The 19,787-nt window shown below is 36.3% G+C and overlaps 1 protein-coding gene across 8 annotated transcripts in view, besides 1 other annotated feature; it reads right to left on the reverse strand.

Annotated features, from left to right (window-relative positions):
* Positions 1–19,787, reverse strand: part of GPM6A (glycoprotein M6A) — a 369,457-nt gene that overhangs the window by 51,511 nt on the left and 298,159 nt on the right. For 6 of the 8 annotated variants that reach the window (NM_201592.3, NM_005277.5, NM_001388090.1 and 3 more), the window contains one exon: positions 17,128–17,320. The exons of the other annotated variants lie outside the window; for them this stretch is intronic. In NM_201592.3, the coding sequence (NP_963886.1) occupies positions 17,128–17,320 (193 nt within the window). The remainder of the gene's footprint in view (positions 1–17,127; positions 17,321–19,787) is intronic. 8 annotated transcript variants of the gene reach the window in all.
* Positions 10,073–10,639: an enhancer, noted in NCBI's record as "OCT4-NANOG hESC enhancer chr4:176615671-176616237 (GRCh37/hg19 assembly coordinates)". NCBI's record gives its function as "activates a minimal SCP1, AML or CMV promoter by ChIP-STARR-seq in primed H9 embryonic stem cells {active_cell/tissue: H9 hESC(primed)}" and the evidence as "EXISTENCE:reporter gene assay evidence [ECO:0000049][PMID:30033119]".

Raw genomic sequence — 19,787 nt, forward strand, 5'->3', positions numbered from 1 at the left:
GGATCAATTTACCATTTTTTCTTTGGGTGGCACAAGAATTGATAAAATCTAATTTTATCAAATTAGATAAAATCAGATAAATTAGATAAAATTAGATAAAATCAATTTTATCTAAAAGATAAAATCTAACTTTATCTTTTTTTCAAAATGGCTGTCCAGTTGTTCCAACATCATTTATTCAAAAGATCATCTTTGCTGCAATGATTTTTAGGTCTACTTCTGTCATACAATGAATTTCTATATCTAGATTTATCTGTTCGGTCCTTTCCATTCTGTTCCATAAATCTGTTCATTTGTGTGCCAGTAACACACTGTTTTAATCAGAGGGGCTTTACGTATGTCTTAATATCTTGTAAGATTAGATCTCTCATAGCTCTCCCTTCTTTGTATTTTCTTAACTATTTGTGTGTGTGTGTGTGTTTTGTTTTGTTTTGTTTTGTTTTATTATTATTTTTTTTTGAGACGGAGTCTCGCTCTGTCGCCCAGGCTGGAGTACAGTGGTGCGATCTCGGCTCACTGCAAGCTCTGCCTCCAGGTTCACGCCATTCTCCTGTCTCAGCCTCCCGAGTAGCTGGGACTACAGGGGCCCACCACCACGCCCGGCTAATTTTTTTGTATTTTTTAGTAGAGACGGGGTTTCACCACATAAGCCAGGATGGTCTTGATCTCCTGACCTCGTGATCCACCTGCCTCGGCCTCCCAAAGTGCTGGGATTACAGACGTGAGCCACCGCGCCTGGCCTATGTGTGTTTATTTTTACACATGAACTTTAGGATGTTCCTCTTTAGCACTATTAAAATGTCCATTGACGTTTTATTAGGGTATACTGAATCTATTCATTAATTTTGAGAGAATTAACATTTTGATAATCCTCAACAAGAATGAAGAATACCTTTTCATTTGTTCAAATCTACTTTTACATCTTTGAGGAGTGTTTCACAGCCAACTTCATGTAAGTTTTGAACGTTTCTTGTTAAGGTCCTTAATTTACTTTTTTGGCTACTATAAATCAAGTTTACCTTTACCTTTAAAAATTCTTCTGTAGCTATACAAATGTTCCTGATTTTTACATGTAAATTTTATATCCTACTATGTTGCTGAATTCTATTATTATTGGAATTGGCTTAATCATTGGTCCTAACATTTTTCAAGTATCTCACCCTGTTACCTGGAAATAGAGGGAGTTTTATTTCTTGTTTGCCAATTATCATGTTTTCTGTTTAGAACAATGGTTTAAGCAGAGATTCAGAGAAGAGGAGGAGAATGAAAAGCAGAGATTCTAGCCTTCTTTGTTCTTGACTTTAGTGGGAGTGTCTCATTGTGTAATATTCTGGGTTTAGAGTTGTGACATTTTTATACACCCCCCCACACACATATCATACATCTCTTCTTATCTTCCCAAAAGCTTATTGGCAAGCAGCATTTTTACTAACATAACTTCTAGATTGAAGTAAAAATGATCATTAAAAGTGTGTGTGTGTGTGTGTGTGTGCACGCACACACATTTGTTTTTGTTTCAGGAATAGGCTTAGAAATATGCTTTCTTTTTGTCTCGTCCACATATTCCAATGTTCCAAGATGCTGCTTATGCTCACATGGATTCTTCCCATGGCAAAAAGCAGGAAATCAGATGTGCCTCCAGTAAAACTACACAGGCAGGCTTACTTTGTGCATTTCCAAAAGTTTCTAACATTTCAATTCTTACAAAAAGTTGTCACAGGCAGCAATTATTGCAAGAGCGAAAATGAACCTTGATTACTGTGGTCAGCTATAAAAAACCTCACTTCATACATTTATTTAGATTGGTGCAAAAGTAATTGCAGTTTTAACCATTACTTTCAATGGCAAAACCGCAATAACTTTGCACCAAGCAAATACTTCCTAATCCCTGACACCTATGAATATTACTTAACATGGCAAAGGAGTGAATATTAACTTTCATGGCATAAATTGTGATTGAAAATCTTGACAGGAGAAGCTTATTCTGCATTATTCAGGTGGGGCCTCAATGCAAGCTCATGTTTCCTTATGAGATACAGGGAGGGGGTTCAGAGAGACACACGGAAGAAAAGAAGGTAATGTGAAGACGGAGGCAGAGATTAGAGTGCTGTGGCCTCAAGCCAAGGAAGGCCCGCAACCACCAGAGTCAGGAACAAGCAAGGAGCAGAATTTCCCCTACCAATCTCCGGGAAGAGGCCACCCTTGCTGACGCCTTGACTTCAGGTGTCTGGCCTCTCCAACTATGAGAGAATACATTTCTGCTGTTTTAAGCCAACAGTTTGTGGCTATATGTTATGGCAGTCACAGTGAACTAATATAGTTGACTAATTAATTATTACATCTTTTTGTTCTGTATGTAAAGATTGCTTGAAACAAATTCTGACATTGTCTAATGCACTTGTATGCTACAAGTCATTTATTAGAACACAGTGGTTTGACACACAAGTTGCTAGAGTATGCAATATTTCTTTAGAGCTGGAAAATGGCAATTTTAAAAAGTAAGAAATGCCTGCTTCTTCCTAAGCACTGAAAACCAAACATTCCTGAGTAAAAATGAGTAGCTTTTCTAGTCTAGTGTATAGATATATTGAAGTTGATGTTTCCAGTTGCTTCTCTACCAGACTTCAGAACAGAGTATCTGCAATTTTGCAGGCTATATTGAAGCTACTTTAGAATGTTTAGGGTTGTGGTAAAGGAAAGTCATGTTTCATTATTTTTTATTGCAGTAAATAACACAGAATATGGGATTTACTCTCTTAACATATTTTTAAGTGTACAATACAGCATTGTCAAGTATAAGCACAACGTGGTATAGCAGATCATTCAAACGTTTTCATCTTACAAGACTGAAACTCCACACTCATTGAACAGCCACTCCCCATATTCCCCAGGCCACAGCCCTGACAACCACCATTCTATCTTCTGCTTCTATAATTTTGACCATTTTAGATAGTTCATATAAATAAAATTGTGCAGCACTATCCTTCTGTGACTGGCTTATTTTACTTAGTGTAATGTCCTTGAACTTCTTCCATCTAGTATCACAATGACAGGATTTCCTCCTTTTTTGTGGCCAAATAAGATTACACTGTATGTATATACTGTATTTTCTTTATGCATTCATCTATCCATGTACATTTTGTCTGTTTCCACATCTTGAATACTGTGAATTATGCTGCAGTAAACTTGAGAGTATATGTATCTCTTCAAGATCCTGATATGAACTCTTTTGTATTAATACCCGGAAATGGGATTGCTGGATCACATAGCATTGCTAATTTTAATTTTCCAAGGAACTGCCAAACTGTTTTCCATAGTGGCTGCCCAATTTTACATTCTTAGCATCAGTGAACACTAGGGTTCAAATTTATTCCCATACTCACCCACACTTGTTATTTTCTGTCTTATTTTGTTGTTTGTAATGGGCATCCTTATAAGTGCGAGGTGACAGCTCATTATGGTTTTGATTTGCACTTCCCAGATGGTTAGTGATTTGGAACATCTTTTCATATACCTGTTGGCCAATTGTAAGTCTTCTTTGGAGAAATACCTATTCAAGTCCTCATTTGCCTATTTTTTAATTGGGTATTTTTGTTTTTGTTTTTTTGCTATTGAGTTGTAGGAGTTACTTATATTTTTTGGATATTAATTCCTTACCAGATAAACAGTTTGTAAATATTTTATCTCATTCTGTAGGCTGCCCTTTCACTCTGTTGACTGTTTCCTTTTCTGCACAGAAGCTTTTCAGCTCCATCTAGTCACACTTGTCTATTATTTTTGCTTTTGTGACCTATGACTTTTGTGTCATATCCAAGAAATCATCACCAAGATCAAAGGTATGAACTTTTCTCCTATGTTTTCTTCTAGCAGTTTTATAATTTTAGGTCTTACATTTAAAGTTTAATTCATTTTGAGTTTATTTTTGTGTGTGGTGTAATATAAGCATTCAATTTCATCATATTGCATGTGGAGATCCGGTTTTTCCAGCATCCTTTATTGAAGAGACTACCTATTTGTCATTGTGTCTTCTTGGTGAAAATTCGGTGATAGTATATGCTTGAGTTTATTTCTGGGTTGTCTACTGTGCTATGGTGGTTTATGTGTCTGTCTTTATGTCAATACCAGACTCTAGGGTTCAACAGCACAGTAGAGTGACTATAGTTAAAAATAATTTATTTCAAGATAGCTAGAAAAGAATATTTGAAACATCTCCAGAACAAAGAAATGATAAAAATTTGAGGCAATGGGTATCCTAATTACCCTGATTAGATCATTACACATTGTAAGCCTATATCAAAATACCACATGTGCCCCACAAATACGTGTAATTATGTACCAATAAATACATACATACATATATACATACATATCAAACTGTTGGTTTTTGTTATTTTCTGTTTTTTGTTTGTTGGTTTGTTTTTTAGAGACAGGGTGTCACTCTGTCACCTAGGCTGAAGTGTAGCGGTGCAATCATAGCTCACCACAGCCTCAAACCTCTGGGCTCAAGAGATCCTCCAGTCTCAGCCTCCTGAGCAGCTTGGACTACAGGCAGGCACCACCATGCCTGGCTAATTATTCTACTTTTTTTGTAGAGATAGGGATTACGAACGCACTGGGATTACAGTCATGAGCCACAATGCCTGGCCAAGATTGTTTTGATTACTGTCAATTTATAATGTTTTGCAGTGAAGAAGTGTGAAGTTTCACTTTTATTCTTCTTTCTCAAGATTGTTTTGACTATTTGGAGCCCTTTGTGATTCCATAAGAATTTTAGGATTTACTCTATTTCTGCAAAATATACCATTGTGATTTTGATAAATATAGCTTTAATCCACAAATTGCCTTGGTTCATAAGAACATTTTAACAATATTAAGTTTTTCAGTGCATTATATGGGAAGTCTTTCCATCTATTTGTGTCTTCTTTAATTTCTTTCAAGAATGTTTTACAATTTCCAGTGTACAAGCCTTTTCCCTCCTTGGTTAAGTTTATTTATAGCGTTTTTTTTTTTCTTTTTGAAGCTATTGTAAATGGAGTTGTAGAAATATAAGTTCAACCCTCTTAAATTTTTTAAGCCTTGTTTTATGAGCTGATGTGATATTTCCTGGTGAATGTTCCAGCTGCACTTGGAAAGAATATGTACTCTACTCCACTGGGTGGCATGTTCTGTACATGCTGTTATGCCATTGTTCTATGGTGTAATTCAAGTCTCTGTTACCTGTCTGGATATTCTATCCATTCTTGAAAGTGAGGTATTGAAATCTCCTACTATGATTGTGTCACTGTTAATTTCTCCCTTCGGGTCTGTCAGTGTTTGCAGAACAATGTTTGTGAGGCTTCTCCCAATTTCACTGAGATGTTCTCAGAAGCCGCCAGGTATCTACACTAGGCTAGTTCTGTCACTGCTTAGAATGAGGTGAGACAGAAACCAGTCCCTCAACCAACCCTCCAAAAAGCCAGAGCACTGGGTGTGTGTTCTACCCTTCTGGTCTCTTTTTCTCCCAGTGCTGAGGTGAGCTAGCTTGGAAGAGGGGCTGATGTGGGATAAATAAGATTGCTCTTGTCCCCTGTTTCAACATGGCTGTTACGGGCTTTGTGCTCACCTGGAGTACTGCAAACTCTTAAGGGGATTCTGGAAATCTCATAAAGGTATTGGTCTGTAAATTACTGTTGAATTGATGTTTTATGGGGGACAAGGGCTGGGACATACCAGTCCACCAACTTGCTGACATCACTTATCTCAAATTCATATTTCGTTCAATTGAAACATATGAGACTGCAAGGTGTGGCATCTATGCTAGAAGTATAATTGTAAATTATTGGTGGCAATTATAGCAAATATAAACCTTTTGATTTTATCTTTTCAAACTTTAACTCAAACACTCTGTAAAAATACCTGGCAGGAAATGCTGCAATAAATTAGCCTAAGTTATGTGTTAATTTCCTATGACTGTTTTATCAAATTACCACAAACTTGGTGGCTTTTTAAAAAAGACGCATTCTTATGTTCTGGAGGTCAGAAGTTTGAAATCAGTTTCACTGGGCTGACATCAAGGTATTGGCAGAGCCCTACTCCCTCTAAAGACTTGGAGAAACTTCCCTTGCACTTTCCGACTTTCAGAGTACTCCATTCTGGGCTTTCCTTGGCTAGTGGCCTCTTCTCCTTCTTCAAAGCCAGCAGGTAGCATCTTGTTTTAGAAGTAACACTGCCTTCTTCTCTGGTCAAGTGGCTCTCTGTTCCCCTCTCATAAGGACACTTGTGTGGGGATTTGGGGCTCATCCAGATAATCCAGGAGGATCTGCTCACCTCAGGATTCTGAATGTAATCACAACTTCAAAGTCTGTTTTGCCATAAAAGGTAACATATGATGTTACAAGGATTATAATATTGAGGGCCATTATCAGCCTGTCACAAGCTATAGACTTCATTGAAGTTGAATGCTAATTCCTTGACCTTCAAATATTCTTAGGTAAAGTTTTTCTTCAAACAATGTGGTGATGGACATGTGCTAATGTTACATTCCAAAATCCATTTCAAAATTTTAAATCATCAAACATTTAAATTATAATAAACCTGAGGTATCTTACTGACTTAATTCTCTTCTTTGTCACAAAAGTGTCCTTTTATCAACATGCAATATATAAAGTTAATAGAATACATAACTTCAAATATTAAATTAGGAAAATTAAACTCTTACTTATCTACGTGAGGATGAATTTTTGTCAGTGATATATCACAAGATGCATAAATAATCCTCTGACGAAGAAGTCACTGATTATGAAGTCACAGAAGGATCAAATAGAGAAATAGCGAAGAAGTTTTACATTCACTACTTTTGCCTTCCAAAACAATCATCCATATTATCCTACTTCTTAAGGGATTAATTCACTTACTTTACCTCCTTCCTAAATGTAGACTTTCAGACTTTGTTACACAACTGTTTTACTAATTGTAAAAGCAATATATAAGCATTGTAAATTTTTTTAAAAAGCATATAAGAAAAATGCAGATTATTCACTGTTTATACTACCAGTTTTTAATTTATTTTAATTAATTCCACAAAGCTATGCTTACTATATACCACTTTGAAAACTTCCTTTTAAATCAATATATTATGAATATTTTAAACTATTATATACCTTTTTAAACAATGTTTAGGATATGACACATTCTGTCACTTGAAGATATCATGATCGATTTTACCAATTGTCTACTTTTGTTCAGTGGTAGGAAGACTGAAGGGCCCCAGTGATGCTCACATCATTATCTCCATAACCTGTAAATATGTCATCTCATATGCCAAAAAGGATTTGGAGATGTGATTAAATTAATGATATTGAGGTGAGGAGATTACCCTGGATTATCTGGGTAGCCCCATTGTAATCACAAGAATCCTTAAAAGTAAAAGAGAGAGGCGAGAGAGACAGGGTCAAGTTCAGAGTGAGATTTGAAGATGCCACACTGCTGGCTTTGAAGATGGACAGGGACCATGAGCCAAGGGATGCAGGTGGCCTCTGGAAGCCAGGACAAGCAAGAGTACGGCTTCTTCCTGAGAGCCTCCAGATGGAGCACAATTCTGCCAACACCTTGATTTTAGCTCATTTCAGTTAGCCCAGTAAGACCCATTTCATACTTGTGACCTCCAGGACTCTAAGATAATACATTTTGTTTTAAGTAACCATATTTGTGGTAATTCTTTTTTGCAGCAGCAATGGTAAGCTAGAACTTGTTATTAAAAACAGCATGGCAATAATGATAATATTATGTAATATTTGTTCTCAGTCTAGATTTCTTCCCTGGGATAAATTCCTAGAAAAAAATTAATGTACATATGGTCAAAATGGTGTCCAGAAAGTTTGTGCCAAAATGAAGATGCATTAATAAAAAGCAAAGGTCTTACTCTCTCTTTGTTCCCTAATGCTAGGTATTATAATTTATTTTTTTCTGATAAATTGATAGGTTATAAATAATGGTATCATTTAAAATTACTTTTCTGAGTTTACTAGTGAGGATGAACATATGCTTACAAGCTATTAAGCTTTTGTAGTTTTTAGTATACCTGTTTTTATATTTTCCCTGTTTTTAGTGACACATTTTGCTGTAGATGTAGCAATTTTTCTTTTATAAAATTAGGAGCTCTTTTCATGTAAGCTGCAAATATTTTTCTCAGTTTTTTTAAATACATTTTAATGTTTTTATAACACTTCAATGAATACAATTTTAATTTATAGTATGTCAAATACATAAATATTTTCTTTTGTGATTTACTATATTGCTTGTATCCTTCTTACCCCATGATAAAGAAAACCCTAATTTATGTATTTGTCTAGCTTTTACAAATTAGCTTACCTTTAAATTCTAATTTTTAATGCACCTGAAAAATTTTGGTAAAATATAAAGTAGGAACATAGTTTCATGTGTATTTATGAGTACTTACATGGACTTGGGTCTCTTTTTACCTTTATATTCTGCTCCATTTTATATATTTTTCTATGTCTCTGCAAAATACCATATAGTATAATATTAATTACCGCAGCTTCTCAATTCCCTGTATTTGTTTAGCTTGATGAAACCTATAACTCTGTTAAAGTACTAGCTCTACCATTCTTTATTTGTATCTGATTAGCTGATGTGGATGGCACTTTTCTCACATACCTTTCATATTTCAGTGCTCGAAGACAAGGAATTTGTCTTGCTCTGCTATGCATTTCTAAAGATGAGCACAGTGAGTGGCACGTAGTATCACCTAAGTTTTTTTCTGAATGAGTACATTCATTAAAAGATTAATCAGACATAAGATTAGCCTAAATATATATATATACACATATGCATACATATATACATATATATATAAAATATACATATATAAGTATATATATATTTGGAAACAGGAGTATTATAGAAGTATAATAAATACAAATATTTTAAAATATATTTTCATACTTGAAATTCATGATTGCTCAATTTGTGAAACATGAACTATTACTAAGATAGCTATTCTTGAGTTAACAAGACTAAGTGAATTACAGACTGTAAGCATTTCAGAACTACAAGTTCATTACCATCCTTCCCTAAACACTTTAATTGATAAGCAAATCACCTCATTTCAAGGTAGTCTATGTATTCTTTTTTGAAAAGATTTTTGGAAAGTTCTTTATATGATGCCAAGAAAGTATTTCTCTATAAATTGAAATACTTCGGCTTAAGTCTCTTTCTCTCTGAACCATAAAGAACAAAGCAAGTTTTCTTCTATCTGATAACTGTTCAAATATTATTGGAATGAAACTATCGTGTTCTTATTTATAGATATGTTTCCCTAAAGTTGCTATGATATGGTTTATATCTGTGTCCCCACCCAAATCTAATGTTTAATTGTAATCCCGAATGTCAGAGGTGGAGCCTGGTGGGAGGTGGTTGGATCATAGGGGCAGTTTCTCATGAATGGTTTAGCACTATCCCCTCAGTGCTATTCTTGTGAAAGTGAGTGAGTGAGTTACGGTGAGATGTGGTTGTTGAAAGTGTGCAGCACCTCCCCCTACTCTCTCTTGCTCCTGCTCTGGCCGTGTAAGATAGGCCTGTTTCCCTTTTGCCTTCCACCATAATTGTGAGTTTCCTGAGGCCTCCCTAGAAGCCAAGCAGATGCCAGCATCATGCTTTATGTACAGCCTGCAGAACTGTGAGTCAATTAACCTCTTCTTTCTAAATTACCCAGTTTCAACTATTTCTTTATAGCAGTGTGAGAATGGACTAATACAGAAAACTGGTACCAAAGAGTGGGGCATTGCTATAAAGATACCTGAAAATGTGGAAACCTCTTTGGAACTGGGTAGTAGGCAGAGCCTGTAACAGTTTGGAGGGCTCAGAAGAAGGCAGGAAGATGAGGGAAAGTTTGGAACTTTCTAGACACCTGTTAAATTGTTGTGACCAAAATGCTGATAGTGATTATGTACAGTGAAGTCTAGGCTGAGGAGTTCTTAGATGGAAAGAAGGAACTTACTGGGAACTGGAGCAAAGGTCACTTTTGTTATGCATTAGCAAAGAGGTTGGCCACATTATGTCTCTGCTCTAGAGATCTAGATGATTTAAGGTATCTAGTGGAAGAAATTTCTAAGCATCAAAGCATTCAAGATGTGACCTGGCTGTTTCTAACAAGCTTGTGTTCATATTCACAACCAAAGAAAGGACATAAAAATGGAACTTATATTTAAAGGGGAAGCAGAGCATACAAGTGAAACATTCTCAGCCTAGCCATGTGGTAGAAAAGAAAAGCCCATTTTCAGTGGTGGAATTCAAGCAGGCTGCAGAAATTTACATAAGTAAAAAGAAGCCAAGTGCTAATATCCAAGACAATGGGGAATAGGCCTCAAAGGCATTTCAGAGACCTTTGTGGCAGCCCCTCCCATCACAGGCCCAGAGGTGTAGGAGGAAAGAATGGTTTCAAGGGCCTGGCCTGAGGTCCATGCTACTCTGCACAGCCTCAGGACACTGCTTCCTGCATCCCAGCTACTCCCACTCCAGCCATGGCTAAAAGACCCCCAAGTATACAACTCGGGCCACTGCTTCAGAGGGTGCAAACCATAAGCCTTGGCAGCTTTCCTTGTAGTGTTAAGCCTGCAGGGGAGCAGAGGGCAAGAGTTGAGGTTTGGAAGCCTCTGCCTAGATTTCAGAAGATATGCAGAAAAGCCTAGATGTCCAGGCATAAGCCTGCTTCAGAGTTGGAGCTCTCACAGAGAACCTCTACTAGAGCACTATGGAGGGGAAATGTGAGGTTGGAGCTCCCACACAGAGTCCCCATTGGGGTACTAGCTAGTAGAGCTGTGAAAGAGGGCTACCATCCTCTAGACCCCAGAATGGTAGATCCACCACCAGCTTGTCTTTTGTGCCTGGAAAAGCCATAGGCATTCAACAGCAGCCCATGAGAACAGCCACAAGGACTGAACCCTGAAAAGTCACAGGGGTAAAGCTTCCCAAAGCCTGGGGGGGCCCAACCTTTGCAGTGTGCCCAAGATGTGAGACACGAAGTCAAAGGAAATTATTATGGAGCTTTAATATTTAATGACTACCCTGCTAGATTTTGGACTTGCATGGGGGCTTATAGCCCCTTTCTTTCAGCTTTTCTCCCTTTTGAAATTGGAGTATTTACCCAATGCCTGTAACTCAATTGTATCTTGGGAGTAACTGACTTGTTTTTTATTTTATAGGCTCATAGGTGAAAGGAACTGGCCTCATCTCAGATGAGACTTTGGACTTTGGATTTTTGAATTAATACTGGAATGAATTAAGAATTTGGGGGAACTTAGGGGAAACATAATTGTATTTGGCAACTTGAGAAGGACATGAGATTTGGGAGAGGCCTAGGGCAGAATGATATGATTTGGATCTGGTCCCCACTCAAATCTCATGTTCAATTATAATCCCCATTGTGGGGACTGGTGGGAAGTGATTGGATCATAGGGGTGGTTTCTCATGAATGGTTTAGCACCATCTCCTCAGTGCTGCTCTGGAGATAGTGAGTGAGTGAGTTGTTGTGAGATAATTCACAATAACTGGTTGTTTAGGGTATGTTCAGGGACAAACAGACTTAAGGCAGCATGAAAGTAGGTATTAAAACTGTGAGTCAGTTTCAGAGTAGATGTCATTATTATCATAACCACTATCACCCCCACTATCACATCATAATAATAAACACTTGTATAGTGCTTACTCTGTGCCAGCCATGTTATTATTGTTTTGAAATATCAACTAATTATCAACTAATTTTATTGTCATACAACTCTAGAATGTAAGCAGCATTAATACATCCCTTTTACTGATTAGTTACTAAGGCAAAGAGGTTAAGTAACTTTTCCAAGGTAAGAAAGCTGGAAAGAAGCAGAGACAATATGGAACAAGCTCAGGGGAGTTTGACTCCAAAATCTTATTCACCACACTATCTTGTCTATCTAAATTCCTCATGGTTCAAGTATTTGGTTTTGTTCTTGTTGTTATTTCATATTGGTGTTTTGAGGTTTTTAAAAACACCCATTTGAGGAGTACTAACCTGGCTGAAATATTGCCTAATGAAATGCACACTATTTATTATTTCAAAAGTTAGGAATTCAGTATGGTTTTCTAACATGAGTTCTAGTTATGACTTACATTATGTTTGACTCCCCAAGAATAATCAATAATCATACATCAATACAAATTTGGCAGATCTTCAACCATTGTTGGAGTAGAATTCTTCAGCAATTAGGTTTAATTGTCAACAACCTAGTTCAGTACAGGCAGTTTACACAGTACTGTGATTCATGTTAGCCTATGAAACTTTGTTTTTTCTTGCTATTAATTCACAGTTTTCCCTTCTTACACTCATCCATTAAGCTGCTAACAACTGTTTCCTACTTCATTAACTTCCAAGGAGTAAACGTAAACTACAAGCAAACTTAGAGATATAAACCCACCCGAAGTTAGTTGAGAACAAAATCTATATATCTATTTTGTCTGAGCTTACTGATTTATTTTGTTTTAGGTAAATAGGAACTATTTTATATGTGCATGCAATATTAAAGAATTCACTAGGTAGTGAACTCAGTTTTTGATGTGTTAACTTGAAATTACAGTCATTAAAAAATTAATAAAATTTTGAAAATAAAATATTCACTCTAGAAGACCACCCAAATACAGTCTTTATCTTATAAGCTACAGGAGGGCATGCTTATGAGTAAGACTGTTCCTTGCCCAGTCCTTTGGAGAGCTATTCAAAAAGCCAAGTCACTTAGCAAAATTAGTGGTTTGGATTTCTGTATGATATCTAATTTTCTAACAGTCTCCATATTTTATTGTCCCAAATGAATCTGCTTCACAGAAGCAAAATACCTACCCTACTTCTTACTTAGTTTGTCAAATGACTTATGAAGCACAGTAATAACACCTTTCCAAATGTCTCTCAAGAGAAAGTCTGAATCACAATTTTTCTGATGAAAAAAATGTCCTCCTCATCACATAGCAGAAAGCGGCAGAGCTGTTTTGAGTGCTGAGTGGGCCTAAATGGCAATGCTAAACCAACAGAAGTTGTGATTAGAGTGTAGAAATAACTCCTAATGGATAAGAAGTTGCACACTTCTTATCAAAACAGTTTGGAACTAACAAATGACCTGGCTTTGAGAAACTAAGCTGAAAATTAAGGGATTAAAAGCTTCTGGGGAAGAAAATAGACAAGAGACAGAGAAGTACTAAAAGTTATACAAATGACTATAAATGAGTTATATAAATGAGTAACAAAATCTTTGAGAAATTCTTTGAGAAATACATTCTTCTCTCTCTCTGGAGGTTGCCACACCTCAAATGTAATGGGACAAAACAGTATAATGGGTGATATCAGCTAAGAGTTTAGGAGCTCAACTTCAGGCCAGCTCCCACTGGCAGGGGCTGATAGTATTTAGAATTATATGTCTAAAATACAGATTACATAAGAATGAGGATTATTTGCAAGCTCATTTATGGTCAGTATGGTTTGCATTCTGGACAAGTGATTAGTGAAACCGAATAGTCACACGTCATTGCGTTTGCTGTTGCCTTTCATGTCTCCCTCTGGACTTGGAAATATTGATCATGTTGAGATAAGTGTATGTATTTAAGAGAAGGGAGATAGTGGAGAGAGGAAAAGAGAGGGAGAGAGAAATTTTGTGGTCCCTGAGATAAAGAAGTAGGTAACTCCTCAAATCCTGAGCACCACAGATGGAAGATTCAGGGCTTGGGCAACTGGAACTGGTTTTATCTTTTAGTTCACACATCCAGTAAACAAGCTTCTTTTCCAAGTATATAATGTAGGAGTGATGAATTTGGTTGAACTAAGTATGAGAACTATGGAGAAAAGAAATAGACTCTGTAAATTACTAAAATTAGGTAAGTCTTTTCTCCACAATTATGCTCTTATACATTCTTTTCCAAACCTACCTTAGTTGATTTCCAAGGAGATGTATGGCCTGCAAACGAATCATTCAGCCTCCTCTGCCTTCTGTTTGCTTATTTTACATCTTCTGTTTCCTCAGCACTTTTTCCATTCCTCTGATACCCCGTAAGGCAGCCCTGCATAGCGTAATATCTACCTCCTCGAAACCTTTATGTAATCTTTAAATTTATCACTTGGCACTAATCGTATTAAGAGGTTTACAGTACATATTTTCCCTCTGTGTTTTCATGAACTATTTGTTGGTAGGGAGAGAGTCTCAAATACTTTGTTAGCTCTGCAGGGCCTGTATAAGGAATTTTAGTAATGTGAAATATGAAAACAGAGATAATTTTGACATTTACTTTTATTCCAATCAAAATGGTATTCTTCCCATTCCAAACATGCATTATTGGTTTCACATTTAATACATAATATAACAGAGCAAAGGTAAAACTACCAAATTAAGCATATAATCTCCAATCTTTCTTCTAAACTCCCCTCACCCCTACATACACTGCCTTTAGAGCTTTAGTAGATCTCTACAATATATGAAAGTTTGTTGTTTAAATATCAAATATCTTAACAAATAATTGCTGATAGATGTACATAAGCATCTATTGCCATTCATTAGGCTTATGATTTCTTACAAACTTGTAATTCTATAAGTAAATTTAGCAATTTGGATGTAGTTTACATAGAGAGAATCTGTAGATGTTAAGGACATCTGTGATGGTTTAAAATAATGCACAGTGAGAACATATTTTGTCCAGGGTAGGCTGAGATAAATCTAGAAAATGTCAGTTTTATCACATTAAAATATATCCATGCAATCATTTTCTTAAGACTCTCTAAAAGCTAACCTGCAATAATCTAGAGCATTTTAATTATATTCCAAATGATGAATATGACTTATAATCTTTAAAGGGTTGATTCATGCTATTTGAATCTAAGGCATTGATAGCTATTGAATTTTGGTTTTATACATAGGTTTGTATTTAGTTTGATGAAAACTGATAAACTGTCTACTAATGCTTAAAGGATTCAATTTAATGGATAACGTCAATTTTTCAGAACTAATTAGTAAAATAAATTTACATTGGGAAATATAATATGCAACTTTCAATTTGCTGTTAATTCTTCATTCCCATTTGTCATGACCTTAGCGAAGCTCTCACTTGATACTACAGAGTTATGGACTATATTTTTATAATAATTTCACTTCTTAATTTAGTAGCTAATCAGTTCCATTCTTCTAATCCCCATGTATGTGTGGGGGGTGGAGGGGACTGGGTTTTCTCAATCTCATTTTCCTCATTTTATTTCTTATTTTCTTATCAGTCTTTCTCTAGGTTTTAAGTATCAACAGGTTTTAAATAAACAAATATTTCAGCTTTGCTTTTACTAAAAATTTTGCTATGTACTCTGTCCAGGGGTATATGTTGTCCACCCACCCCCCAAAACAGAGCATTCTTGCTCTGTTACCTGATAGAAATGTATAACTCTATTCTCATTTTTTTAAATTTTTATTTTTTGAGAGAGAGTTTCACTCTGTTGCGAAGGCTGGAGCTGCCTTCTGGGCTCAAGCGATTCTCATACCTCAGTCTCCCTAGTAGCTGGGATTACAGGCTTGTGCCACCATGCCCAGGTAATTTTTGCATTTTTAGTAGAGACGGGATTTCACCATGTTGCTTAGGCTGGTCTCGAACTCCTGGCCTCAAGTGATCTGCCTACCTCAGCCTCCCAAAGTGCTGGGATTACAGGCATGAGCCACCACACCCGGCCCACAACTCTATTCTCTTTTCATTTTCAGGGGAAATTAGTAACTTTAATAAATAAAAAAAAATTATGATATTTATAAAAAATACTTTGAAATATACTTTTATGAAAAACAATTTATGAAAATTACTTTGAAAAATACCTTGTTCAAGATAATCTGCCTAAACCTGATGGAGTATAAGAAATTTAGCAATATGATATATTCCTGATATTGTAGTTGGAGAAAAGTTGTCTTCTACCTAAAAAGTTGTCTGGGTTGACCAAGTGTTTTTTCAGAGTAGGATCTTAGGTTAAAATTATACCAGTTCAACAGGAATTGCCCTGCATAAATGAGAATTGTGATCAACCTCTCTTAGATGGAATGATAAGATTAAAAAGCAAAGCTACACTAACCATCCAGATACTCACTCAGATTTGTAAATCTAAAAGCATCATATTAGTTAAAAATGTATATACATTAAGAATGTTTGAGTTTATTTAGAATGACAAAATAAAGGAACATGAAGAAGATTACAAACACAGGTATCAAACAGCATGAAATAAACACAAGAAGTTATAAATATAACAAAAGCTATAAGGGCTCAGGAGACAAGTTTATTATCAGCTGGGATTACAAACAAACTAATAAATTATTTTCTTTTCATGGGCATAAAAATCACTGAATAAATTATCTGAATTAGTAACTTATTTAGCAATAAACGTTTCTAGAATTCAATCCCAAACCTTTGTTCTCTATATTATGCAATAAGGAGCTGAAATTTCAACAGCAAACTTTAATTTTCAGACTGTTTAAGTTACTTTTCTAAAAAAGTTATTTTAACATAATCATAGTGATCTTAGGAGTTTTACATTTTATGAGAGAAAAGTATAATTGGTGTTTGAAAAAAAAGGTTGCTTGATTTCTTATGATTTACTCTTTTACAGAAGACAATAAGAACTTTGCACAATATTTACATCATTTCTGTAAATGTAACAGCAACAGTAAGATACCATACCCAGGGCTGAGTTTATTTCTTTTAAAGGTGGGAGCACCCATGGAGCTTTGCTGATTTTCCTAAAATTAGTAGCAAGGGCCAGATTTGTACCTGGCACTATTCTAATAGAACAGCCTCTGTTCAAATGAGAAGAGCAAGGGAAGTCCCAGAATTCCACTTAATGGTAACCAAATTTCGAATACAACTTTACATTTAAAGCATTGGTTAAGTCCTGATTAAGTCGGCCTCTGATCCTGTGCTACGTGCCTTCTATTGACTGTGAAGGCAATCATGAATCATGATTACCCTTTTGAATCAGGTATACCCTAAAAGTGCTGTTTCATATATATTATCACCTCATCTAACTGTAGGCCCCTAATCATTTAACACATAGAAGTGTAAATATATACATGGAAAATAACAAGAAATACTAGAGTGACTTACATGGTAAAAACATCCAGTGTGTCTCCAGCAGTTCTTGCCATCTCAAAGTAGGTTTGCAGAATGTTGACAGTTCCAGAAAGCGCTTCATGACCGCAGCCACAGAACAGGGCAACACCCGCATAGAGCAGGATGGTGGCAATCAGAGAGGCATAGGGAATGCCCCCCAGGCATTTGATACAGCATTCAAAACACCCTGTAGAAGATCACAAAGGGAGAAATTCATATTTTTGTTAACCTAATTTAATTTTTTTTTTCAAACTTCAGCACTATGGGAAAGTATATTTGCACTGACAATACCAGGTCAACCATACAAATGAAGTCCTAGAGTGCATTGAAGGATACTAAGATCAAATTCCTTAATTATAAACCCATCCTCCACAAATAAGAGAATGTTTGCCATGACTGATGTCTTCCTCATCTACCGCAAAACCTAGAGAAGCCCTTCCTTCCCAACCCAGACTTTCTATAATAATTAATCTTCACCATACATGCATGCATATCATTCCATCTTGAATTTATTGCTCCCAAATGTCACATGCTTATGGTTTTATTTCAATGGTATTTATTCTTTTGCACTCTGTGTATCTGCATTTTTCTTTTTTTGTAACAGATATTTTTATTGATGTGTCATAGTTATACAAGTTTTGGGGATCCAGGAGATATTTGGATACATGTTTATAATGTATGAGGATAAAATCGGGGTAATTGGGATATCCACCGCCTAAAATATTTATGTTTTCTTTGTGTCGGAACATTAAGATTCTTCTCTTCTAGCTATTTTGAAATATACAATAGACTATTTTTAACTATAATTTCCCTACTATGCTATCGAATACTAGAACTTATTCTTTTTACGTAAGTGTGTTTTTGTACCCATTAACCAATTTTTCAGACAGTAAGTTGAAGCCTGTTAGTATGTTGTGAAGTTAACCTAGTGAACTGTTTTCTTTCCTTTATTGAGACAGAGTCTGGCTCTGTTGCCCAGGTTGGAGTGCAGCGGAACAATCTCGGCTCACTGCAATCTCTGCCTCCCGAGTTCAAGAGATTCTCCTGCCTTAGCCTCCCAAGTAGCTAGAGCTACAGGCACACACCTCCGTGCCCCATTAATTTTTTTGTATTTTTAGTAGAGACAGGGTTTCACCATATTGGTCAGGCTGGTCTCGAACTCTTGACCTCAAAACTCAGTGAACTTTGACCAGCAAATATTAAAAGTGACAGAGACTGGAAGAGACAATATCTGAATTCATGTTATGTAGTAAGGGAAATTATTTTTGACTCTTTTGACTTCAGTACTCCTATATGATATTTGAGTGGTGACTCATAATGAAAATCTACTTCTTGCTATCATTCATGGTTTGAAAAAATGAGAAAGACACTGGCACAGCAAATGAGAGCACATTGGACACACCAATCCCTGTGTGGTTTTTGCCAAATTTATTCTTTTGAGCTTATTGTCTTTAAAAATGTGACAATAAGATAATCTCTCATATGGTTCTCATGAGCATTAAATGAGTTAATATAAAAAAATAGTGCTTGACATAGAGTAACTACTCACTACATGTTATCTGTCATTATTAGATGTAACCTAACTATTATTACTTTTGGGGGTGGGTGGAAGATGGAGTCTCACTCTGTCACCCAGGCTGGACTACAGTAGTGCGATCTCGGCTCACTGCAACCTCTGCCTCCTGGGTTTAAGTGATTCTCCTGCCTCAGCCTCCCGAGTAGCTGGGACTACTGGCGCACGTCACCACACCTGGCTATTTTTTGTATTTTTAGTAGAGACGGGGTTTTGCCATGTTGGCCAGGCTGATCTCAAACCTTGACCTCAAGTGATCCATCCACCCTAGCCTCCCAAAGTGCTGGGATTATAAGCATGAGCCACCACGCCCAGCCTAATTTAACTATTATTCATATGAACTATTACTGTGCTGTCATGTGGTTGTCAAAAATTCTTTGGCCATCATGGTCACTTTTGGTTTTTGAAGTCTCATCACTTTTACTTATTAAAACACAGCTTTAAGCATTTAAACTGAGACATCAGAAAATGATGGTAAATATTCAAAATAAAGGTCACAATTTCCTAGGCTATTGCTAGATATCTTCTAAGAAATTAACTAGAAATGCTTAAGTATATATGTTTTGCAAGAGCAAATACTGGTGAGGCACTATGTGCCAGCCACAGCTGATAAAGGAGAATTTAGATGAGAGAGCTGACAGGCTAAGGGTACTTGCAAGGATGACCTAGGTTCCATATGTACCCACCTCTAGCCACCCCACCCCTCAGATACACACACATATCCTCATTCCAAAGATTTCCTCCTTATGAAAATCCTTGATCAAATCTGTCTTTGTAATGCTGAAGCCCCTCAGATAATGACTTTTCCTTTTTCTTCAGAAACAAATGACAAACAAGATTTTAAAATGGATTATTATTGTGCTTAAGTCATAGGAAGATCTGTGTGCACTTTATCTAGAAGGCATAGATGCATATAGCAACATATGAAGCATGTGATAATTGCAAAGTTCCTGTGAGAACTAAGTTTATATTGAGAGATTGAGCTAGTCTGCTATTTTTAATGCTGCTCACTGAACTGGCCTTCTTGACAATTCTAGTCCATCCCATCTGCCCCAGAGGAGGTTAAAAAAAGGAGTCTGAA

The sequence above is a fragment of the Homo sapiens genome, chromosome 4 (genome assembly GCF_000001405.40).
Source record: "Homo sapiens chromosome 4, GRCh38.p14 Primary Assembly".
Classification (NCBI taxonomy): domain Eukaryota; kingdom Metazoa; phylum Chordata; class Mammalia; order Primates; family Hominidae; genus Homo; species Homo sapiens.